The sequence below is a fragment of the Homo sapiens genome, chromosome 6 (genome assembly GCF_000001405.40).
Source record: "Homo sapiens chromosome 6, GRCh38.p14 Primary Assembly".
Classification (NCBI taxonomy): domain Eukaryota; kingdom Metazoa; phylum Chordata; class Mammalia; order Primates; family Hominidae; genus Homo; species Homo sapiens.
Window position 1 is genome coordinate 77052374 of NC_000006.12, and position 25820 is coordinate 77078193.

Sequence of the window (25820 nt, forward strand, 5' to 3'; positions counted from 1 at the left end):
CTCCTCCCAGTTACTCACTGCTAGAACCTTCCACCAAAGAACATGCCTTCTGTACCCTTCTCCACGTTGGGCAACAATTTTTACTTTGTTGGTTTGTTTTCTAAATATAGAACCATTCCCAGGCTGAGTAGAACATTGAACCCAACATTATGTTCTACTGAACATTTTAACTGAACATGAGACTGACATATTTTTTTCTTTCTTTTCTTTTTTCTTTCTTTTTTTTTTTTTTTTTTTTTTTTGAGTCTCACTCTGTCACCCAGGCTGGATTGCAGTGATGTGATCTCGGCTCACTGCAACCTCCACCTCTTGGGTTCAAGCAATTCTCCTGCCTCAGCCTCCCATGTAGCTAGCTGTGATTACATGTGTGCTCCACCATGCCCGGTTAATTTTTTCTGTTTTTAGTAGAGACGGAGTTTCACCATGCTGACCAGACTGGTCTCGAACTCCTGACCTCGTGACCTGCCCACCTCAGCCTCCCAAAGTGCTGGGATTACAGGCGTGAGCCACCGCCTCTGGCCTGAGATTGACATATTTCTATAGCATTAAAACTTCATTGCATTCATTTTAATTTTGTCTGTTATTCAATAAATGTATTTTGGAAGAAAAGAAGGGGGTGCATTATAATTTATTATTGTTATACACGTATGGAAGCTGTTGGCTGAACTGGATTTATTTTGTGGAATATAATTGTTCATGTGCAGCTCAGATTCATAATCTACAGACAACATTTGATATGTATTCCAGGTCTTCAGTGTAATTATTCAAAATAAAGAAATGGGAGATGTACACTGAACTCAGAATCCTCTAGAATTTCAAAAGTGAACATTTCAATAAGAAGCTTTCATCTAGGGTTTTTATGGTTTTAGGTCTAACATTTAAATCTTTAATCCATCTTGAATTAATTTTTGTATAAGGCGTAAGGAAGGGATCCAACTTCAGCTTTCTACATATGGCTAGCCAGTTTTCCCAGCACCATTTATTAAATAGGGAATCTTTTCTCCATTGCTCGTTTTTGTCAGGTTTGTCAAAGATCAGATGGTTGTAGAGGTGTGGTATTATTTCTAAGGGCTCTGTTCTGTTCCATTGGCCTATATCTCTGTTTTGGTACCAGTACCATGCTGTTTTGGTTACTGTAGCCTTGTAGTATAGTTTGAAGTCAGGTAGCATGATGCCCTCAGCTTTGTTCTTTTAGCTTAGGATTGTTATTGTGGCACTATTCACAATAGCAAAGACTTGGAACCAACCCAAATGTCCATCAATGATAAACTGGATTAAGAAAATGTGGCACATATACACCATGGGATACTATGCAGCCATAAAAAAGGATGAGTTCATGTCCTTTGTAGGGACATGGATGAAGCTGGAAACCATCATTCTCAGCAAACTATCACAGGGACAAAAAAACCAAACACCGCATGTTGTCAGTCATAGGTGGGAATTGAACAATGAGAACACATGGACACAGGAAGGGGAATATCACACACCGGGGCCTGTCGAGGGGTGAGGGGCGGGGGCAGGGATAGCATTAGGAGATATACCTAATGTAAATGATGAGTTAATGGGTGCAGCACACCAACATGGCACATGTATACAAATGTAACAAACCTGCACATTGTGCACATGTACCCTAGAACGTAAAGTATAATAAAAAAAGAAGCTTTCAGAGAAGAATTGTTATGAAGGTTTTGTACTAGTCAAAGTCTTAGATGTAGAGATGATAATGGACTTTTTAAATTGTAAGTCTGCATGAATGGTGGTCATAAGAAAGTAGCATAAAAACCCCCCAAAGGCATTAAACATAAAGTTAACATCTTCGTCTAAGATTTTACTTTGTTTACTATATTCTAAAGAATAAAATCTTTCTTGAATTTTAAAAAATAATAATAAAAGTGGCCTATCAGACTTGGCTTATTCTAATTCAGTGCATATTTCAAACTCCCATGATTGACTAATATTAGGTTTTTATTTAGTCACGCTGAGTTCCTTCTTTTTTGAACTCATTGAAGTGGGAGACCCATCAAAAGTTCTTACATCTGCCAATCAATTAATTTCCTCAAAGTCTTTTTTATGAATTTTATCAGTGGCTGCTATTTTGCCTTAGGTATAACAGTTTGATTTAGAATATATTGGAATTTAGAAGCCACGAGCCCTTCTTTTGTGCAGTGAGGAAACATCTATGAATCTGTGAAATCAGTGAATATATACTGCTTCCTTTATATTTGTTCCTTCTTGCCAGGACATTTTTTCTCATTACACAGGTTTGGAATGCCTTAAAGCATGATAATAATATAATTTGTACTGCTGTCACATCTTCAAGTGCTTGGCAAAAGGAGGTATGTTTCAGGGACAAACTGAGTTATACCAGAAAGCAACAATACTAGTGGTAAAACCTAGCAACCAAAAATGGATCATTTTTCAAACTTTTATAAAACATTAATGCTGCAAACAGCATTCCAAGGATTTTTAGTATAAACTAATGATAAACCTTAAGGAATCTAAAGTCATACACCAGCCTAAACAAAAGTAATCTCACCCATTCTTAAATCTTTTACAGGAAATATGGAGCTATAACCGTTACATTTTTGTATTTCTGCTCTTCAAATAAAAACAAAAACTCAATCATGGAAGCTTAAATGTCCCTTGAGATGGGAGGGTAGAAAACAGACTTTGCCTCTAGGTCAACTCCTGAAATAGAGGCTTCAAATTGGTGGTCCACTGATCAGACTTAGTCCTTGTCTGTCTTTTTGTTGGGCTTGCAGCAAGACTCCAAGACTCTTAATTACTTGTAAATATTAAAACATTAGGATATTTCACATATAGTAGCAGATTTCTCTTCAAAAATAGAAAGATCTGGCACTGCAAATGCAACCGTCTCCTAAAGTAGCATAGGAATATAGGCTTTAGACTAAATGGGTCATTTAATTGACCATCTTTATTTATTCATCTTACCTCCCTTTCCCTAAAGGGTAAGGTAAGGGAGAAGATGTCAAAGTCAGTTACAGACTACAATGACTATGACTGTAGGGGGAAGTTTTGGTTAGAGTTTTAGGGATGCTGATTCTGGGATGCACTAACCTGTGCATACATTTGATTGAGGGCCATCCATAACCTACATTTATGCCCAAGAACAAGACACTTTGAGCTCACCGCAAATTTTGCAAAATTGATTTCATCTCTCCAGTATTACCTTGGATTATAAAGCCAGGTGAGAGTCTCTCCTACAGAAGGAGGCAGAAAAGGTCCCAGAGGCTTTGGCAAGCCAGGAGGAACAGTCCAAGTATGGTTGGAGATTACGGCCATAGGACAGGGGTATATATAACTATGATGGAGTGAACGCAGAAGGTAATCAGCTATGAGCAGTGTGGAGGTTAAAAGATGATACAGCAGGGGTATTATAGCAAACGCAATGACCAAGACAGATGAGAGTGAAGGAGGGGGTGCGAGTTGAGCTGTTTAGAAACTTGGCTGCAAAAGAAAAATATGTACCGGTGGCAATTTAAGGGATGCCTGGATTAGGTTCCAAATGCCCATCTGTAAACTAAGGAATCTGGCCAGCTGAACAGCTGCACTAGCAGACTGAAACTAGACCAATCTCTTAGGTAGGCAGGAGGAAGGGCAGACAGGATAGGAAATAAGCCATCTATCTTTTCATATTTACAGTTGCACTTTCCACCCAATATTGAAGCAATACAAAAATTAGCATTTTTGTAGCCAATTACAAGTTTTCTGAAATGGTAAAACTCAATCATAACCTGCTGAATTAAACTCACAGATGAAGAAAAACAAATATTTTACTTTAAAATTGGTTTTATTTCTGAGATTTACAAACACAAAAATTACAATATGGACATTTACATTTAAATAAAATATTTTATGCGGGTGGTTGAACTGTGGCAAAGGAAACCGAGAAAAACCTGCAATTAATACTAACAATATTAGTAAAATAAATAATTATATATTATGAATAAGGTGCATAGTGTGCATTATATTATTTTATCCTTGAAACAAATTTTCAAGGCAAACATGTTATCTATAATTTACAGCTGAGGAAGGGAAAGATACGAGAGAGAGCCTGTAGAGCCAGTGAGTATTAAAGCCAGGTCTGCAATCAAAGATGGTCTCATTCCTATTTCTCCACATCCTCTCCAGGATGACTTTTTAATGATCGCCATTATAACTGGCATGAGATGGTATCTCATTGCGGTTTTGATGTGCGTTTTGATGTGCATTTCTCTGATGGCCAGTGATGATGAGCATTTTTTCATGTGTTTTTTGGCTGCATAAATGTCTTCTTTTGAAAAGTGTCTGTTCATATCCTTCGCCCACTTTTTGATGGGGTTGTTTGTTTTTTTCTTGTAAATTTGTTTGAGTTCATTGTAGATTCTGGATATTAGCCCTTTGTCAGATGAGTAGGTTGCAAAAATTTTCTCCCATACTGTAGGTTGCCTGTTCATGTGTAAGTCAGTGTGGCAATTCCTCAGGGATCTAGAACTAGAAATACCATTTGACCCAGCCATCCCATTACGGGGTATATACCCAAAGGATTATAAATCATGCTTCTATAAAGACACAGGCACACGTGTGTTTATTGTGGAACTATTCACAATAGCAAAGACTTGGAACCAATCTAAATGTCCAACAGCGATAGACTGGATTAAGAAAATGTGGCACATATACACCATGGAATACTATGCAGCCATAAAAAATGATGAGTTCATGTCCTTTGTAGGGACATGGATGAAGCTGGAAACCATCATTCTCAGCAAACTATTGCAAGGACAAGAAACCAAACACCGCATGTTCTCACTCATAGGTGGGAACTGAATGAGAACACATGGACACAGGAAGGGGAACATCACACACCAGGGACTGTTGTGGGGTGGGGGGAGGGGGGAGGGATAGCATTAGGAGATATACCTAATGCTAAATGACAAGTTAATGGTGCAGCATACCAGCATGGCACATGTATACATATGTAACAAACCTCCACGTCGTGCACATGTACCCTAAAACTTAAAGTATAATAATAATAAAATTAAAAAAAAAAAAAGATGATCTGATTCTACCACCATACAAATACATGGTGGGTTTGGTACATTAATCTATCTCAGAGGTAGTATTGTTAATTTTCATTGTTTTGTTAATATTATCAGTATATTAACATATTCTTGAATATTTTAGAGCATGTTTTACAATTATTTTGAAATAAGAATCTGTAAGCAATGACTTTTTTTATATTCCTTGCCCAACAAATCTGCCTAGGACTTTCAGTATAATTACAGAGAAAAGTGGTTAAAGGAGGCACCCTTTGTTTCATTTTTGATTTCAGAATTATTTTTTAACATTTAATCTTTAAACAAGATATTTGCTGTAGGTTTTTATGAATACCTTTAAATAGGTTACTAATGTTTTCATTAATATTTTATTAATATTTTGCTATAGATTTTATCATAAGAGGCTATATAACTTTTTTCAATTGCTTTTACTGAAGCTAATAAGATATATAAATTATAGTTTTACTCAGTTAATTTATCATTAAACAACTTTCATTCATATGTTAAACTATTAATATATTGATAATGGTAAATTATGTTTGTTATATATTGTTGCATTCAGTTGATTAAAATGTTGTTCAGTATATTTGTATCTGAATCCATGAGTGAGATTTCCCAGTGAATTTCCTTTTAGAATTCTCCTCATCAGGTTTTTGGAATGAAAGTTATGCAAGTCTTAAAAAAAAATGAGTTAATGAGTTTTCATTCTTTTTCTACATTCAAGAGTAGTTTTATGAGAGTAGAATCATTTGCCAGAAAGGAATTTACTAATAATTATTTAATATTACTCTTTGTGCCTAGAGTTCTCTTTGTGGAAAGAGTTTAATAATTTAATTTCTTCAATAAATATGTCTATCCATATTTTGTTTTCTTATGGTAGTTCTTTGTTATATATGTTAGTTGTATCTCTTTTATTTGTCAATTCCACATAAATATTCAAATATATTGAAGCAATTTTTTTGCTATCTTTTTAATGTTTGCCACATCTGTATTCATGTATAATTTTTAATTCTATTTGATCTCAAGCCCTCTTTTTTATTTTCTTAGTCAATTTTTAGGAAAATTGATAATTTATGAAGCTTTTTAACGAAACTACTTTTTTCATTTTCACTGTTATACATTTGTTTTCTATGTAATTAACCTTTTCAGTTTTAATCATTTTATTACTTCTATTTTATCCATGTTTTCTTTTGGTATTTTTCTGACTCAAAATAGATAATTCAGTCACTGATTTTCTTTTTTTAAGTAAGATTTTAAGACTCCAGACTTCCACTCAGGATACTAATTTAACTGTATCCAATTTTCAATAAGTAGCATTTTAATCACTCAGTTTTGATCATTTTCCCTTTCTAATTTATTCAGAGATTATTTGGAAATAATGTTTCTTAACATGTAAACATACATAAATTTTGTTCTATTTTAATTATGTTACAGCCAAAAAATATATTTATGATACGAAGCTATTGAAATGTATTGACTTTATTATTCAATACAAAACCAATTTTTAAAAGTTATCTGTGACTGAAAACATTGTGAATTACACAGTTGTTGTATATGATTTATTATTTGTGCATGAATATCTAATTGTTCCAGAAACTTTACTTGAAAAGTGTATGATTTCCCAATAAGTTGGCATATATCCTTTGTTGAAAATCAGTAGACCTTAAATATAATGACTTATTTTTGGACTCTCAATTTAATCAGTACAGATATCTTGATCTACATGTCTAGTCTTATGTTAGTACCATACTGTCTAGATAACTACAGCTTTAAAGTGTTGGGTGTGGAGTGGAAGTCCTCCAACATTAATTTTTAAAAATTGATTACTCTAAATTATTATGTATCTTCATATAAGTATTTGGATCAGTTTGTAATTTCTATAAAAATGTCTGCTGGAATTTTGATATTATGTTGAATTTATAGATAAATTTGGGGACAATTGCCATCTTGACATTAATGAGTCCTCCAACCCATGAATACAAAATATTCCTTCATTTATTTAAGTATTCCTTTATTTACTGTGACAATATTCTGTCACTTTCAGTGTATAAGCAATAAATTTCATTTGTACTTTGTGTTAATTTTGTTGCTACATATTTTACTCTTTTCATGCTGTTGTGAATTAAGTTGTATTCTGTATTGTTTTGGGATTGTTAATTGTGTGTAGAAACACAACTGCTAGCTTCGATTAATCGTTTCATTTTGAGATAATTGCATATTCACATGCGATTGTAAGATGTAGTATAGAGAGTTGTTTTGCCCCATCTCCCCAGTTTCCCAAATGGTTTCATTTTGCAAATTATAGTATACTATTACCATCAACATACACTGATACAGTAAAGGTACAGAAGAGTTTCGTCACCAAAAGGTAACTCATGTTGCCCAATTTTAGCCACGTCCACTTCCCTTCTCTTCCTCCTTAGCCACTAGCAACTACTAACTGTTTTCTATTGCTGTAACTTTTTGGTAGAATATTTTTAAATACATAATATTTTGCATATTTATGTGCTACATGTGATTTTTGTTACATGCATAGCATTAGAATGATCAAGTCAGGGTATTTGGGGTATGCATCACCTTCAGTACTTTTTATTTTTATATGTTCAGAACATTTCAAGTTATCTTCTCCAACTACTTTGAAACACACAATATGTTGTTGCTAACTATAGTCACCCTACTCTGTTATCGCACATTGAAACTTTTGTCTTCTACCTAACTGTATGTTTGTACCTATTGATAAACCTCGCTTCATACCCTCACCCCCGCACATACTCTTACCTGCCTCGGATATCTATTTACTCTCTATAGCAACAATTTTTGTATGTTGACTTTGGATCCATTGCAACTTTACTGAGTCATTAGGTTTTTTGCAGATATAAGACCATATTGTCAGTAAAAAGGGAAAGTTTGACTTATTTTCTAAATACAACGCCTTTTTTTTTTTCTTTTGCCTCATTGCTTTGGCTAGGACTTCCAGTACTTTGTTGAATTAAAGTACTGAAAGTGGATATCCTGTCTTGTTCCATTCTCAGGATAAAGACTTTCGGCTCTTCCTCATTTGGTGTCATGTTAACAGTGGATTTGTCCCATATAGGCTTCATTATGTTAAGCTATGTTGCTTCTGTGCCTAGTTTGTTGAGAGTTTTGTAATGAAGGGATGTTAAATTTTATCAAGTGCTTTTTATATGTCTACTGAGATGCTCGTGTTTTTTCTTCTTCATTCTGTTGATGTTATGTATCACATTTATTGATTAAAGTATGAAACTTGAATAAATCCCACTTGATCATGGGGTATTATGTTTGAGTGTGCTCTTGGATTCATTTTTCTAGTATTTTGTTGAGAATTTTGCATCTATATTCATCAAGGATATTGGCTTGCAGTGTTTGTTTTCATTATGTCTTTATTTGGTTTTGGTGTTAAGGTAATTCTGGCATCATAAATTGAGTTAGGGATAATTCTCTCCTCTTCATTTTTTGGAACAATTTGAGGAGATTTTGTGTTAGTCCTTCATTGAAAAACTACTTTAAAGTTCATATGGAACCAAAAAAGAGCCTGCATCGCCAAGGCAATCCTAAGCCAAAAGAACAAAGCTGGAGGCATCACACTACCTGACTTCAAACTATACTAAAAGGCTACAGTAACCAAAACAGCATGGTACTGGTACCAAAACAGAGATATAGATCAATGGAACAGAACAGAGCCCTCAGAAATAACGCCGCATATCTACAACTATCAGATCTTTGACAAACCTGAGAAAAACAAGCAATGGGGAAAGGATTCCCTATTTAATAAATGGTGCTGGGAAAACTGGCTAGCCATATGTAGAAAGCTGAAACTGGATCCCTTCCTTACACCTTATACAAAAATCAATTCAAGATGGATTAAAGCCTTAAACGTTAGACCTAAAACCATAAAAACCCTAGAAGAAAACCTAGGCATTACCATTCAGGACATAGGCATGGGCAAGGACTTCATGTCCAAAACACCAAAAGCAATGGCAACAAAAGACAAAATTGACAAATGGGATCTAATTAAACTAAAGAGCTTCTGCACAGCAAAAGAAACTACCATTAGAGTGAACAGGCAACCTACAACATGGGAGAAAATTTTCGCAACCTACTCATCTGACAAAGGGCTAATATCCAGAATCTACAATGAACTCAAACAAATTTACAAGAAAAAAACAAACAACCCCATCAAAAAGTGGGCGAAGGACATGAACAGACACTTCTCAAAAGAAGACATTTATGCAACCAAAAAACACATGAAAAAATGCTCATCATCACTGGCCATCAGAGAAATGCAACTCAAAACCACAATGAGATACCATCTCACACCAGTTAGAATGGCCATCATTAAAAAGCCAGGAAACAAAAGGTGCTGGAGAGGACGTGGAGAAATAGTAACACTTTTACACTGTTGGTGGGACTGTAAACTAGTTCAACCATTGTGGAAGTCAGTGTGGCGATTCCTCAGGGATCTAGAACTGGAAATACCATTTGACTCAGCCATCCCATTACTGGGTATATACCCAAAGGACTATAAATCATGCTTCTATAAAGACACATGCACACGTATGTTTATTGTGGCATTATTCACAATAGCAGACTTGGAACCAACCCAAATGTCCAACAATGATAGACTGGATTAAGAAAATGTGGCACATATACACCATGGAATACTATGCAGCCATAAAAAATGATGAGTTCATGTGCTTTGTAGGGACATGGATGCAATTGGAAATCATCATTCTCAGTAAACTATCGCAAGAACAAAAAACCAAACACCACATATTCTCACTCATAGATGGGAATTGAACAATGAGATCACATGGACACAGGAAGGGGAATATCACACTCTGGGGACTGTGGTGGGGTGGGGGGAGGGGGGAGGGATAGCATTGGGAGATATACCTAATGCTAGATGACGAGTTAGTGGGTGCAGCACACCAGCATGGCACATGTATACATATGTAACTAACCTGCACAATGTGCACATGTACCCTAAAACTTAAAGTATAATAAAAAAAATTAAAAAATTAAAAAAAAAAACCCCAGCTGAAATTCTAATTAAATCCATGTGGCATATCATAACACAATATGCTATGGTATTCACTTCTGTTATTGATCTATGTCTACACACAGTTCTTTGCTTCAAAGGCCCCAACCATATTAAAAAAAAAAAAAAAAAAAAGTTTGGCACAAATCAGTAGTGAAGCTCTCTGATCCTGGGCTTTTATTTGTTGGAAGACTTTTAATTACTGATTCAATCTCATTACTCATTATTGGTCTGTGCAGGTTTTCTGTTTCTTTCTGATTCAATCTTAGCAGATTGTATATTTCCAGGAATTTATGCATTTATTCTAGGTTTTCCAGTTTGTTAAGTATACAGTTGTTCATCATAGTCTCAGATGTATCAGTCTGTCTTATCAGTTGTAACACCTCCTACTTCATTTCTGATTTTATATGGGTCTTCTCTCTCTCTTTTTTGTTAGCTTATCAAATGGTTTATCCATTTTTTTCATTTTTTTCAAACACCAACATTTAATTTCATTGATCTTTTATTTTGTGTTTTGCCTGGATTTTATTTAGCTCTACTCTGATTTTTATTATTTCCTTACTTCTACTAATTTTGGCTTTGGTTTGTTCTTGCTTTTCTAGTTCCTTTAGGTGCATCATTAAATTGTGTATTTGAAATCTTTCTACTTTTTTGATGTAGGTGTTTATTGCTATAAACTTCCCTCTTAGTACTGCTTTTGCAATATCCCGTAGGTTTTTTGTATGCTGTGTTTTTATTTCAGTTCGCTTCAAGAAAATTTTTTATTTACTTCTTAATTTTTTTCCTTGACCTAATGGATATTCAACAGCATGTTGTTAAATTTCCATGTACTTGTACAGTTTGCAAAGTTCTTGTTATTGATTTCTAGCTTTATTCCATTGCAGTTTGAGAAGATATTTAATATGATTTCAATTTTTAAATATTTGTCCATGTCCCTTGAGACCCAGGTGGTCGTACTGGTGGTGGTGGTGTCTACAGAGGGCTGGGTGCACCAGTCCTCAGGCCCACAGGTGCTGCACATGAGTGGTTTGCAAGCTGTGGTGGTAGTGAAAGGTGGCATGGACCTGATCTCAAATGCTGAAAGGAATGCTCAGGTGCAAACTGTGGGCTGGGCTAGGTGATCCCCAGTTCCTTAGTTGGCATGTTCGGGTACCTGGTGGGGGTGGAGCTGGGCCGAAGAGACTTACCCTCAAGCCTCCCAGTGGTGCGTGTAGGGACTGGCTTTTATAGGCAGGAACAGGGTAGAGCCAGGCCCCCAGTGGAGTGCTCAGTTGGGGGCAGCAGCCACTGTTCTGTGGTTCTATTACTGAGGAAGGCAGAGTTGCTTGCAGTGGGAGCAGCCATCAGCAGATGTCAATGGGGCACACGCTTCATTCATGCCTCAGCTTCACAGAAGTCTGTAGCAGTGGATGTTATAGGCAGTGGAATTTGTCCTCAAGGCATTTGAAAATGCATAGCTGCCCTTATGCTGTAGGTGGGCTAGGTTACTGGCAGTTGGCCCCAGTGGTGGCAGCTGTGGTGAGGGAGCGTCAATGGGGCTCTAGGGATGTAGAGATTCAGCGGCTGTTGTAACCCAGGGCAGGATGCAGTCTAGTGCAGGATGGGCTTTCAAAGTGGCACCATACTTCTTAGGACTTGGGAGTTTGTGGGACCCAGTATGAGCTACCTCTGCAGCAATAACTTCTTTTCGTCTGCAGGCAGCTTCCTATGTTAGTCTCAGGTCCCATGAAGGTCGAGGTGCTCTCTCATGGCTAGGATTGTAGGACTCATATTTGGAATGTGGATCACTGGGTGTCTTTCACTCACCCTTTTCCTGCATTAGGGAGCCCGTCCAGAGTTCCAGCCAATCCTGGCCAAACAGGCTTCCTCCCTTCCCTCTCCTTCCTTGTTTGTGGTGCTTCCCATCATTTCTCTGTTGAATTTCAATGTTCTCTCTTAGATGATCTATTTAAAGTGTGATTGTCTATTCATTGTTTTGGTTCCTCTCTGTGGAAGAGGCAAGTACCAGACACATTTAGTCACCCATCTTAAAGCTCCTATCATTTTCATAATTTTTTTATTTCAAGTATATTATATAAATTGAATTGGATTATACATAATTTGTTGTTATTGACTTTTATCATTCATCATAATTCTGAGATTCAACCTATTTCTTGTGTTTATCAATAGTTTCTTCCTTTTTGTTGCTGAATTCTATTTAATGTTATAGATGTACTATATTTGTTTAAGCATTTCTTATTTGTTTTTAGTTTTTGACTATTACAGGTTTTTGTATAAACATAATCTTTGTTTATCTAGATTAAGCTCAGGAGTTCAATGACTACGTCAAAGGATAGTTACATGTTTTTCTTTAGAATTTGAATTTGCCAAATTGTTTTCCAGAATGGATGTATCGTTTGACTTCCTCACAGCAATGTATAGATGATCCAGTTTCTCTTCATCTCCACCAGCACTTGGTATTGCCAGTATTTTTTGCTTTAGCCATTCTGATAGGTGTACAATGATATCTCATTATGGTTTTGGTTTGGATTTCTCTAATAATGATATTGTGCCATCATTTTATGTGCTTACTAGATAGATAGATTAGAAGATAGATGGATAGATAGATAGATGATAGATAGATAGATAGACTGATGGAAGATAGAGAGATAGACCCTAGTTCTTCATATATCTGGTTTGCAAATACTCTCTCCAAGTCTGTAGCTTGTGTTTTCATTCTCTTAACAAGATCTTTCACAGTGCAAAATTTTTAATTTTGATGAAGTTCAATTAATCAATTTTTTCCTTTAATGAATTTTGCTTTTGGTGTCAAGTCAACAATTCTTTGCTTAGTCCTAGATTCTGAAAGTGTTCTAATTTTTTCTAAAAGATTTTTAGTTTAAATTTACATGTTCATTTTGCATTAATTTTTATACAAGGTGTGAGATGTAGGTCAAGTTTAATTTTTGTTGTTATTGTTGTTGCTTATGAATGTCCAATTGTTCTCTCACAATCTGATGAAAAAGCCACTTTTCAAAGTTCCACTGAATTGCTTTTTCATCTTGCTATGCCTGCATTGGGCAATTTTTGGCTTCTTCTTTCAAAAGTCTTGGTGTTCAAGCTCTGAGATTCTTTACGCTGTTTGATCTAGTCTATTGTTGAAGTTTATAAATATATTTTGTATTTCACTCAATGAATTCCTAAGTGTCAGTATTTGAAACTGTTTCATTAATCTATTATATCTAAATTTCCACCAATACCATACAATATTGACTACTGTAGTTATATAATACATTTTTAAAAACTGGAGAATCATTTCTCCCACTGCATTCTTCATTTTCAAAATTGTTTCACTATTCTAGGAGTTTCTCTTGTTATCTTTTTCATATGAATTTTAGAATAATCTTATTTATACCTAAAAATAATGCTGTCATTTTGACAGAGATTTTTCTTGGATTTTTTAAAATAGGTATACCAGCTAGGGGAGAATTTAAGTCTTTATTATGTTGGGTTTTCCAAAATATAAATAGTGTGATTTTCTTTGATTTATTTCACCAGCTTTTTGTAGTATTTTTCTTTTCTGAAGGTCAGTTATATATATTTTTTGTTAGATTTATACATATTTTATTTTTTCAGTGATTGTAAACTATTGTTAATGTTTTGTATATGTATGTTTAATGCTAGTATATAGTAATAAAATCAATTTCTATATGTTTATCTGAGTTTTTTAAATAAGCAATGATGAATTAATTCAAATTTTTCTGCATTAATATAATCATATATTGTTTCTTTCAACTGTCAAATGGTAGATTACTTTGATTGATTTTCAAATATCAAACCAATGTTGCATCCTTGTAATAAACACCACTTACGCATGGTGTATAATTATTTTTATATATTGCTAAATTCTATTTGCTAGTATTCTTTTGAGAATCTTGAAATTATATTTATGAGAGGTATGTATCTACATTTTTTCATACCATCTTTATGTGGTTTTAGTATCAGGGTAATATTAACTTCATAAAACCTATTGAGAAATCTTTCTTCCTCTTTTGTTTTCTTCAGGATATTGTGTAGAAATGTTAATTCTTCTTTAAATATATAGTAGAATTTTCCAGTAAAACCAACTGAGCCCAGATATTTATCATTTAAGAGATTTAAAGTTAAAAATTCCATGTCCTTATTGGTTATAAAACTATTTGAAGTTTTGTAAGTAGATATTTATTTTGTAATGGATGAGTTTTGGTGGTTTGTGCTTTTGAAAAATGGTCATTAAAAATTCATGTGTAGTGTCATCTGTAGTATTTTCATATTATTTTGATGTCTGCTGGGCCTATAGTATTGTCCTCATTTTATTCTTGTTGTTGGTAATCTATACTTTATGTATTTTTATTTCTCAGTTGTCTTGGAAGTTTGTGTTATTCTTTCCAAAAAATGAAGTTTTTGTTATTTGCTATTGTATTCTGGTTTTTAATTTTATTAATTTCTGCTTTTTATTTTACTTCTGCTTATCTTAATATTGCTTTGCCATTCTAATTTTAGCTCTTAGAGGAAGAAGCTTAGGTTATTGATTTTATACTTTTCCTCTTATCTAATGTATTTGGTTCTATAAATTTATCTCTTGGCACTGCTTTAGTTGAAGTTCACAGATTTTAATATGTATTTCTAATTGAATCTTATTCCCATTTTCATTATGAATTATATTCTTTATTTCATTTTCAGATTATTCATTGCTCATATGTAAAAGATAATTGTTTTGTTTACTTACCTTCTGCCACCTTGTTGTAGTTGCTTATTAATCCTAATAACTTCTTGTGGATTTTTAAAAAATAGTCTACAAACAAGATCACGTCATTTGCCAGTGAACACTGTTTTACTTCTTAATTCTCATTATGGGTGCCTTTTATTTCTTTTGCTTCTTTTTTTTTTTTTTTGAGATGGAGTCTCACTCTGTTGCCCAGGCTGGGTGGAGTGCAGTGGCGCGATCTCAGCTTACTGCAAGCTCCGCCTCCTGGGTTCGCCTTAGCCTCCTGAGTAGCTGGGACTATAGGCACTCGCCACCACGCACGGCTAATTTTTTGTATTTTTAGTAGAGACAGGGTTTCACCGTGTTAGCCAGGATGGTCTCGATCTCCTGACCTCATGATCTGCCTGCCTCGGCCTCTCAAAGTGCTGGGATTACAGGCATGAGCCACCGCGCCTGGCCTCTTTTGCTTCTCTTATTGCATGCAGTGAGTCTTCCAGTACAAAGTTTAATAGGAATGCAGAGAGCAAATATCTTCACCTTTTTTCTGATTTATGGGAAAGGTATTCAATCTTTCACCATTGAGTATATTTGCTTTTTTTTTTTTTGTAAGAGCCCTTTATGTCAAGGAAGTTCTCTTCTATTCCAACTTTGTCAAGAATGTTTTTTAAAAAATTTTGTTTGTTTTTAAATCATGAATTGATATTTCATTTTGTCAAATGCTTTCTCTGTATCTATTGAGATGATTAAAACCATTTTTTTCTTTACTATATTAATATGGTATACTACATAACTCATTTTCTGATGTTAAACTAATCTTGCATTTCTGGGATAAGTCCTAATTAGTCATACTGATAGTCTTTTTGTATATCATTAAATTTTATTCACAGAAATTTTGTTGAATATTTTTGTCTACATTTAATAGAGTTGTCATTTTCTTTTATTGTAACGTTTATCTGCTTTTTGTATAAGGGTAATACTATTGTCACTGAATTAACTGAGAAGTGTATCTCATTTTTATTCTGAAAGAGATTGTGAAGTATTGCAATGTGTGGAGTATTGCATTATTTCTTCTTTAAATGTTTGCTAAAGTTTGCTAGTGAAACCACCTTGGCCTGAGTTTTTCTTGGTGGGAAGTTTTTTGGTTACTAATTCAATTTCTTTACCTCTGTTCTAGCTTTTTAAGGCAGTCTGAAATGTATACTTTGGTATCTCATTGTGGTTTTAATTTGCATTTCTCTAATAGATTATAATGTAGATCATCTGCTCATGTAATTATTTGCCATCACATATGTTCCTGATGCAGTGTCTGTTCATATATTTGGTCCATTGTTTATTTTTCTTATTGATGTGCTTTGATAATTATTTCTATAGTTCAGATACAAGTTCTCTGTCAGAAATATTGTATTAGTACATTTTCGCACTGCTATAACGAAATACCTGAGACTGGGTAATTTATAAAGGGAAGAGATTTAATTGACTCACAGTTCCACATGGCTGGGAGGCCTCAGGAAACTTACAATCATGGAGGAAGGTGAAGGGGAAGCAGGCACCTTTTTCAAAAGGTGGCAGGAGGGAGTGAGAGCAAAGGAATAAAAACTGCCATGTAGAAAACTATCAGATCTCATGAGAACTCACTCATTCTCATGAGAAAAGCATAAGGAAAACCACCCACATGATCCAATTACCTCCCACCAGGTCTCTCCCTCAACACCTGGGGATTATAATTTAAGGTGAGATTTGGGTGGCAACACAAAGCCTAACCATATCATTTCACCCCGGGCCCTCCCAAAATCTCATGTCCCTTTCACATTTCAAAACCAATCATGCCTTCCCAACAGTCCCCCAACATCTTAATTCATTCCAGCATTAACACAAAAGTCCACAGTCCAAAGTCTCATCTGAGAGAAGGCAAGTCCTTGCCACCTATGAGGATGTAAAATTAAAAACAAGTTAGTTGCTTCCTAGATACAATGGGGGTATGGGCATTGGGTAAATTCTTCTATTCCAAATGGGAGAAATTGACCAAAACAAAGGAGCTACAGGCCCCATGAAAATCCAAAATCCAGTGGGGCAGTCATTAAAATTCAAAGCTCCGAAATGATCTCCTTTGACTCCACTTCACATTCGGGGGCATGCTGATGCAAGGGTTGGGCTCCCATGGCCTTGTGCAATTTCTTCACAGGCTGGTATTGAGTGCCTGTGGCTTTTCCAGATGCACAGTGCAAGCTGTCAGTGGATCTACCATTCTGGGGTCTGGAGGATGGTGGCCCTCTCCTCACTGTTCCACTAGGCAGTGCCTCAATGGGAACTGTATATGGGTGCTCCAACCCCACATTCCTTTTCTGCACTGCCCTGACAGAGGTTATCCATGATCATATCAGCAGTAGACTTCTGCCTGGACATCCAGGCATTTCCACACATCCTCTGAAATCTAGGCTGAAGTTTCCCAACCTCAATTCTTGAGTTCTGTGCACCCACAGGCCCAACACTATGTGGAAACCACCAAGACTTGGGGCTTTCACCCTCTGCAGCAATGGCAAGAGCTATACCTTGGCCTCTTTTAGCCATGGCTGGACGTGGAGCAGCTGGGACAGAGAGCACCAAGTCCTGAGGCTGCACAAAGTGGAAGTCCCTGGGCCTGGCCCATGAAATCTTTTTTCCCTTCTAGGCCTCTGGGCCTGTGATGAGAGGAGGGATGCTGTGAAGGTCTCTGACATACCCTGGAGACATTTTTCACATTGCCTTGAAAATTAACATTTGGCTCCTTGTTACTTATCGAAATTTCTGCAGCCAACTTGAATTTCTCCCTAGAAAATGGGTTTTTCTTTAAAACATCATGATTGGGCTGCATATTTTCCAAACTTCTACTCTCTGCTTCCTCTTGAATGCTTTGCCACTTAGGTATTTCTTTTGCAAGATACCCTTAATGATCTCTCTCAAATTTAAAGTTACACAGATCTCTAGGGCAGGGGCAAAATGTCACCAGTCTCCTTGCTAAAGCATAGCAAGAGTGTCCTTTGCTCCAATTTCCAATAAGTTTCTCATCTCCATCTGAGACCACCTCACCCCAGACTTCATTGTCCATGCTATCAACATTTTGGTCAAAAGCATTCAACAAGTCTCTAGGAAGTTCCAAACTTTCCCAAATTTTCTTGTCTTCTGAGCCTTCCAAACTGTTCCAACCTCTGCCCACTACTCAGAGCCAAAATCACTTTCACATTTTTGTGTGTCTTTATAGCAATACCCCACTCTCTGTAGTACCAATTTAATGCATTAATTAGCTTTTGCACTGCTATAAAGAAATACATGAGACTGGGTAATTTATAAAGGAAAGAGGTTTAATTAACTCCCAGTTCTGAATGGCTGGGGGAAACCTCAGGAAAATTAGAATCATGGCAGAAGCTGAGGGGGAAGAAGGCACCTTCTTCACAAGGCCACAGGAGGGAATGAGAGCAAGGGAGGAAAAATTGCCACTGATAAAACCATCAGATCTCATGAGAATTCACGCACTATCATGAGAACAGCATGGGAAAAACCACTCCCATGTTCCAATCACCTCCCACCAGGTCTCACCCTCAACAACCGGGGATAACAATTTATCAAGATGAGATTTGGGTGGGGACACAAAGCCTAACCATATCAACTATAATTTCCAAATATTTTTCTCAGAGTGTGTTTTGCCTTTCTTTCTCTAAACAGTTATCTTTCACTATGCCAAAATTTGTAATTTTAATGAAATCCAATCAATTTTTTTCTTTTATTCATCATGCTTTTGGTGTCATATCTAAAACTCTTTGCCCAACTAAAGTCACACAGATATATCTATATCTAGATACAGATATAGATATAGATATTTTTTGAGATGGAGTCTTGCTCTTTTGCCAGGCTGGAGTGCAATGGCACAATCTCAGCTCACAGCAGCCTCCGCCTCCCGGGTTCATGTGATTCCGCTGCCTCAGCCTCCCAAGTAGCTGGGATTACAGGCATATGCCACCACACCCGGCTAATTTTTTTCTATTTTTAGTAGAGATGAGGTTTCACCGTGTTAGCCAGGATGGTCTCGATCTCCTGACCTCGTGATCCACTCGCCTCAGCCTCCCAAAGTGCTGGGATTACAGGTGCAAGCCACCGTGCCTGGCCCAAAGTCACACATATATATTTCTATCTTTTTTTCTAGAAGTTTTATAGTTTTAGATTTTATATTTAGTCTTATAATCTATTTTAAGGCTTTTTGTCTAAGATGAAAGGTATAGGCTAAGATTCTCTTCATTGGCATTGAGATTATGAATTATTCATTTTTTCTTCATTGAATTGCCTTTTCATGCTTGTTCATGTGAGCTTGCTGTATTTGTACAGGGCAGGTTTTTGTTTCTGTATTCAGTTCCACTGACTGATGTGTCTATTCTTTTTAGTTTTTATTTACTATTTTTTAATATGGGATAGTGCTATGTTGTCCAGGCCAGTCTTAAACTCCTGGGCTCAAGTGATTCTCTCACCTCAGCATCCTGAGTAGCTGGGATTATATGTTCAAGCCACCATGTTTAGCTCAGTGCATACATGCTTCAGCCAATACCTACTGCCATGATTACTATATTTTTATGATAAGTCATGAAATTGGGTAATGTGAGTCCTCCAATTTTGTGGGTTTTTTCTCAAAATTATTTTGTCTACTCTCATTCCTTGTCATTTTTCTAATCCCCTTGCTTTTTCTATATATACATATGTATTATAAATAGTTAAACATCTACCAAAATAATTCTAGAAATTTGATTGTGATTGCGTTAAATCTATGAATTCTTTTGAGGAGGACTGACAATATAAGACTTCCAATCTGGTAATTGAATAATATCTCCTTTTATATATGACTTTCATTTTTTAATCAATATTTTTTACTTTTCAGTATATAGATCCTTCAAATGTTTGTTAGATTATATTGAAGTATTTCATTTTAGATAGTACTATTATAATAGTACTTTTTATAAATTTTAAATTCCAATTATTTATTACTAATATGTAGAAATACAAAGGACTTCTAAATTAGATATTGTAGTCTGTAACCTTTCTAAACATATTTGTTACTTACAGCAAATTCTTCAAAGTTTTCTACTTATACAGCCATGTTTCCTGCAAAAAGAGAAAATATGTTGATTTTTCCCCAATCTTCATCTTTCATTTCTATTTTTCATAGCTGATTTTGGTGGTTAAGACTTCCAGTATAGTGTAAATAGGAGTGGTGACAGTGGACAGACTTGCCTTATTCTGACTTTAGAGAAAAATAATTCATTGTATCATCATTGTTAGTTGTAGGGTTTTTAGATACCTTTTTATAAGATTAAATTTTGATCTTCTTGGCAAAAATTTCACATATTGTGTTAAGAATTTCCACAGAAAAAGGATGGGGGAATGGGGATTAAGGCAGAAAAAAAAAGTCACTTAGGAAAGAAAAATACTTTACCCTGGTATATAGAAATCATTTAACTAAAAAGTGAACTATAGTCATTTCTAAACCAGAGATGCAATCTTAAAGTGTGTTTCCTAGAGCAGCAGCAGAAGCATCACTGGTAACTCAGAAATGTAGTCTTGGACCACACTTCCAAACCCAGTCTCTGAATCAGAAACTGGAGGTGGAAACCAGCAGTCTGCCTTTTAACAAGTCCTCCAGCTGATTCCAATGTACACAACAGTTGGAGTACCACCAATCTAAACCATACGCTGCAACTCATAATCTGTTTAACTACTTAACAAAATGGCAAAGCACATTAGGAGAACTTGTTTGTCAAATAAGAACACATTCTCATCAGCTCTGCAACCAGGAACAGACCTTAATCAGTTTGTGCTTACAAAATCAAAAAACCCACACCCTGGGACCAATCTAATTGGAACATACAGAACGAAGTCAATTCCATTTCATGGTGTTCCAACTAATGAAACTTTACCTCTCTGCCTAGAATGTAGAACTTTATTCTGCTCTAACATTTTATGCCTGCTTTCTCCGTAGCAAAGGATTTCCTATGTGAGTTCCTGATCCCCTTCTGTTCTGACCTGGTAGTCACACCTGTCAACAAGGTCCGCAAGTTCTGGCCTTTGGATTCTGGCAGAACATCAAAACTGGTGAGTAAGTAATCTCCCAATAGTTTATAACTGCAGTTTTCAAAATTTTGGAATCAGCAGAATTACTTCTTCAAATGAAACCTCACAAGAATTTCAATTTATAAAACGAATATATGCTGAGCCATTGTTAAGAAATGGAGGAGCTGAGTGGCAGCTAAGGCAGGAAAGAGGTAATCCTAGGTTCTTTTCCTGTTTTGTGAGCATTTTAGACTTTATGAGATGAGAATTTTAGGCTTCATGAAATTCACTGATTAGGTAATCACTCAGAACTGGGAACTGAAATCTGAAAAATCAGAATACCTGGACACCAGTAACTTTTCAAGTCCAATATTTTAAACCAAACATAATTTGTATTTTTAGTGAAACTCATCAGTTAAATGACCTTCAAATTTTACACTAAATAGGATGTTAAAAAAAGGAAAAGAGTGACAAATTTATTTGGTCACAATCAGTAAATACATTTTCCACTTTCAAGGTTGGATTTATGTTTCCTAGATAGACTCGCTTCTTCAGGGATAAGGGTGGGGTAGATCTTGTTCACTTTATTTTACAAGAACTCTTGCAAGTATGCCATTTATATGTTCACATCAAATAATCTTCATGGATTGCATGAGGGTTAACTACTAGTAAATTACCAAATTATATTAACCTAAAATTAAGTGACCAGAGCTTTTATTCTTCTTTTTTTAAGTTATTTTTCTAAAACTCACTTGAAAAAAATAAGGATAGTGAAATAAGCACGAAAGCTAAAAGAAAACAACTATGGCCAAAAAGATATATGATGATAGTTGATATGATTTGGCTGTGTCCTCACCAAAATCTCAACTTGAATTGTACCTCCCAGAGTTCCCACGTGTTTCAGGAGGGACCTATGGGCAGGTAATTGCATCATGGGGGCCGGTCTTTCTCGTGCTATTCTCATGATAGTAAGTCTCTGATGGGTTTATCAGGGGTTTCCACTTTTCTGCTTTTGCTTCTTTCTCATTTTCTTTTGCCTTTGCCATGTAAGAGTCTTTCACTTCCTACCATGATTCTGAGGCCTCCCCTGCCATGTGGAACTGTAAGTCCAATAAAATCTTTTTTTGTTCCCAGTTTTGGGTACGTCTTTATCAGCAGTGTGAAAACAGACTAATACACTACTGATAATGACAAATCTATTGTCTTTTGCTTAAATATTCAGTGAAAAATGTCTGCACAGTCCTCTCTCAAGCATTTTGATGAAAGCTACTATTTACTTTAGGGAAGTGAAAGTGTATTTATTATGAGGGAGCTTTCTTTTACTTTCACCCTGTTAAAGAAACTGTGTAGAAAATACGCATTTAAAAGATCATTAACAAAGAGCAGAATTACCAAAAGAACAGACTGGCTAGCCACCGAAGTTTAACTGTTTCTTCAGGTACTCGAAAATAAATGCGTAATTAATTTACTTTGATTCCCAAAAGTATTAATGATTATCTTCATCCTCCCTCATTGTCTGGAGGAGAGTAACACAGAAAGCACCAGTAATTTTCTCACTTCTAATTATGTAAGCAAATATGCATTTACAGTTTTGAGAAATATTCCTAAGTAATTGTAAGTATGGATTACATTCTGTTTTAAATTATTCCAAAAGTTAAAATCACAGGATAAAATTTTCCTTAGTATTGCATGAGTCACCACTGTCCTAATACAATTTCTCAGATACATATTCAATGTATTCATGAACCTCTATTTTAGGACAGAATTTATATAACACACAGCATTTATCATCTTACTTGTCTCTTGTAGAACAACAAATGGGCATGTTTTCTAAGTGTTTAAATAATGATTTGAGACAGATTCTTATAGCATCTCTTCGAGGTATATAGTAACACCTTTCTCCTAGCAGTAAGGAAACAAATGAAATCCCAAGATAGATCAAAGACTTGGTAAGAGACTGTAAGAATTTTTCAGGCCTCAGAACTGCATTATCATTATTCACTGAGAAAAATATAGACAGAATATGAACACATTTGGCAATAACACTGAATTGAGCATTCTTGTTCCCCATTCAAAGTTATAAATTAACTTACTTTCTCTAGAAAACTATATATTTACTGCATATCCCACATTTAACTCAAATCAGAACTTGACCTAATAGGCATATAAAAATGACATCAAACAGTTACTTGTTGGAAAGACTTCTGGTTCCAAAATAGTGACAAAGAAGCAAGCTGGCTTAACTCTCCCCCACAGAAAACCAAAAACAAATATATAGCACTGAGATTATCACCAGCAATATCCCAGAATTCAAATAAGAGGATAAGACAGTTCCCAGAGCCAAAGGGAAGTGAAAAGACTCGAAGCACATGGAAAGAGAATCAAACCTCTATATCCATGATGCCCCTGCCCCGAAAATGCCCCACATCAAGTGCATGAGAATTTTATGACTCATGATTTCTAGAGAGGGAAAAATGAAATTAAGATGGACTACCAGCTTCCCAATCATTTTAGATTCCCTGGCAGGAGACCTGTCCTTACTTCAACCCACAGAAATCACCAACAGTGTCTGAAGGGAGGAATATCCCTGAGAATCACCCTAAACAAAGGAGGGAGGTAGGACTACCATCCCCTGCTCTGGAAACTCTGCTCTATAACTCTGCTAAAGGAGTTGCCAAATCAGAGTGGCTGTTCAGAAGCATCACATTGTAGAAAGTTTGTTCCACAGGTCCCCTGAACACACATCTGTAGCCAGCCTTCCCACACTAATGGAATACCCGCTTAGGGACCTTCCCATTCTGACCTTCAGCATTCTGATTGTTTACTAGAACTGAGACAAACCTAGGCTTTAAGGCCATCAAGTGCTGAAAAGGAGACAGTGACCTTGTTGGGGTAAAAATAAAAACATCAACAGGCAAATTACAAAAAAAAAAATCTAAGCAAACATATCCTATAAAAAACAAAACAGACAGCAAACACTAGAAGAAGTAACTAATTATTCAATGCAAATATATAGACATACATCTACAAGGAAAAAAAATGGAATCATGAACTCTTCAAATGAGCAAAGCAAGGAACCAGTGACTGGCTCCACTGGGACGATGACATGTGAATGCTCTTAATAAAATTCTAAATAGTAGTTTTAAGGAACCTCAGTGATTTCCAAGATAACACAGAAAAGCAGTCCAGACATTTACTAGACACATTTAACAAAGAGATTGAAATAATTTTAAAAATCAAACAAAAATCTTCTAACTAAGAAAAACATTTGCTGAACTGAGAAATACATTAGAGGCTCTCATGAGCAGAATGGATCAAGCATGAAAATGATCAGTGAGCTATTCAATAATATATATGATGAGAAAAAAATGAAAAGGAAAGCTTACCTACAAGATATAGAAAACTACCTCAAAAGATCAAATCTAAGAATTATTGCTTTTTAAGAACGAGCTGAGCAAAAACAAGGGATAGAAAACTTACTCAAACAGAAAACTTTCCAAACTCTGAAAAACGGACAAATATTTAAGTACAGGAAGGCTAGAGAACACTACATAACTTGACCCAAATAAGACTACCTCAGGGCAGGAATTAATCAAACTTTCAAAGGTTAAAACAAGGAGAGGGTTCTAAAAAGAGTAAGAGTAAGAAGAAAACAAGTTGTAAAAGAGCTCCAATTCATCAGGGAGCTGACATCTGAATGAATACCACACAGACCAACAAGGTGTGGGAAGGCATTTTCAATGTACTGAAAGAAGTAACTGCCATTTAAGAATATTTTATCCCACAGAGCTATCTTTTACACATGAAAGAGAAAGTATTTCCCGGACAAACAAAAGCTGAAAAAAATTGCCAACGCCAGACCCTTTTATAAGAAATGCAAAAGGGAGTTCTTCCATCTGAAAAAAATCTGATGAAAAAAAAAAAAAACACTAACATTGAAAACATTAGAAGGTATAAAACACACTGGTAAAATTAAGTACATGAACTAACCCAGAATACTCTAATATTGTAATTGTGTTGTGCAATTCACTTGTAACTCTATTATAAAGCCCAAAGATAACTCTATCAAGAATAATAATAGCAATAGCAACCTGTGAAGAGATAGGCAACATTAAAAGACATGAATTGAGACAACGTAAAGTAAATGTGTAGTTAAAAATGAAGTTGGTGTAGCATATTTCTTTCCATTATTTTTCTTTTTGTGATCTAAGATGGAATCTTTATTTAAAATAACTTGTCATATCTATAATATCTATACGATGTTTCTTGTAAGCCACATGGTAACTGCAATGCAAAACTTTTAATAGATTCATTAAAAATCAAAAGCAACACATTAAGACATACTACCAGAGAAAATCACCTAGCCACAGGAAACAGAGTAAGCAAAGAAGAAAGGAAGAGGGGAGTTACAAAACAACCAGTAAACAAAGAACAATATGGCAGTAGTAAGCCCTTACTTATCATTAATAACACTGAATGTAAATGGATTCAATTCTTCAATTAAAAGGCATAGAGTGGCTGAATGAATAAAGAAACAAGACTCAACAACATGATCCATATTCCAAAAAAAAAGAAAGAAAGAAAGAAAGCAACACTTCACATATAAAGACACATTTAGACTGAAATTGAAGGGGTGGAAAAAATATTCCATGCATCCAGAAACCAAAAAATAGCAGGAGTAGCTATTCTTATATCACACAATATAGAATACAAATCAATAACTTTAAAAGCACACAAAAAGATCACTATAAAATGATAAAGGGCTCAGTTTATGAAGAGGACATAACAATTTTAAGTATCCATATGCCTAACACCAGAGTGCCTAAGTATATAAAGCAAATATTAATAGATCTAAAAGAAGAGATAGATTACAATACCTTAATTATAGGAAACTTCAACACTCCACTCT

The 25820-nt window shown here is 35.4% G+C and overlaps 2 long non-coding RNA genes across 3 annotated transcripts in view; one reads left to right on the top strand and one right to left on the bottom strand.

Moving 5' to 3' along the window:
• Positions 1-25820, top strand: part of LOC105377862 (uncharacterized) — a 322839-nt gene that overhangs the window by 277424 nt on the left and 19595 nt on the right. Inside the window, exon 3 of the long non-coding RNA NR_187980.1 lies at positions 20841-20953. This is a non-coding gene — a long non-coding RNA (uncharacterized LOC105377862). The remainder of the gene's footprint in view (positions 1-20840; positions 20954-25820) is intronic.
• LOC101928570 (uncharacterized) overlaps positions 16291-25820 on the bottom strand; it is a 248816-nt gene continuing 239286 nt past the window's right edge. Inside the window, exons 9-10 of one of the 2 annotated variants that reach the window (XR_241864.5) lie at positions 19926-19966; positions 16291-16765 (exon numbers count right to left, since the gene is read on the bottom strand). This is a non-coding gene — a long non-coding RNA (uncharacterized LOC101928570). Of the gene's footprint in view, positions 19967-25820 lie in introns of both variants that reach the window. The other variant, XR_007059650.1, reaches the window with a different exon arrangement.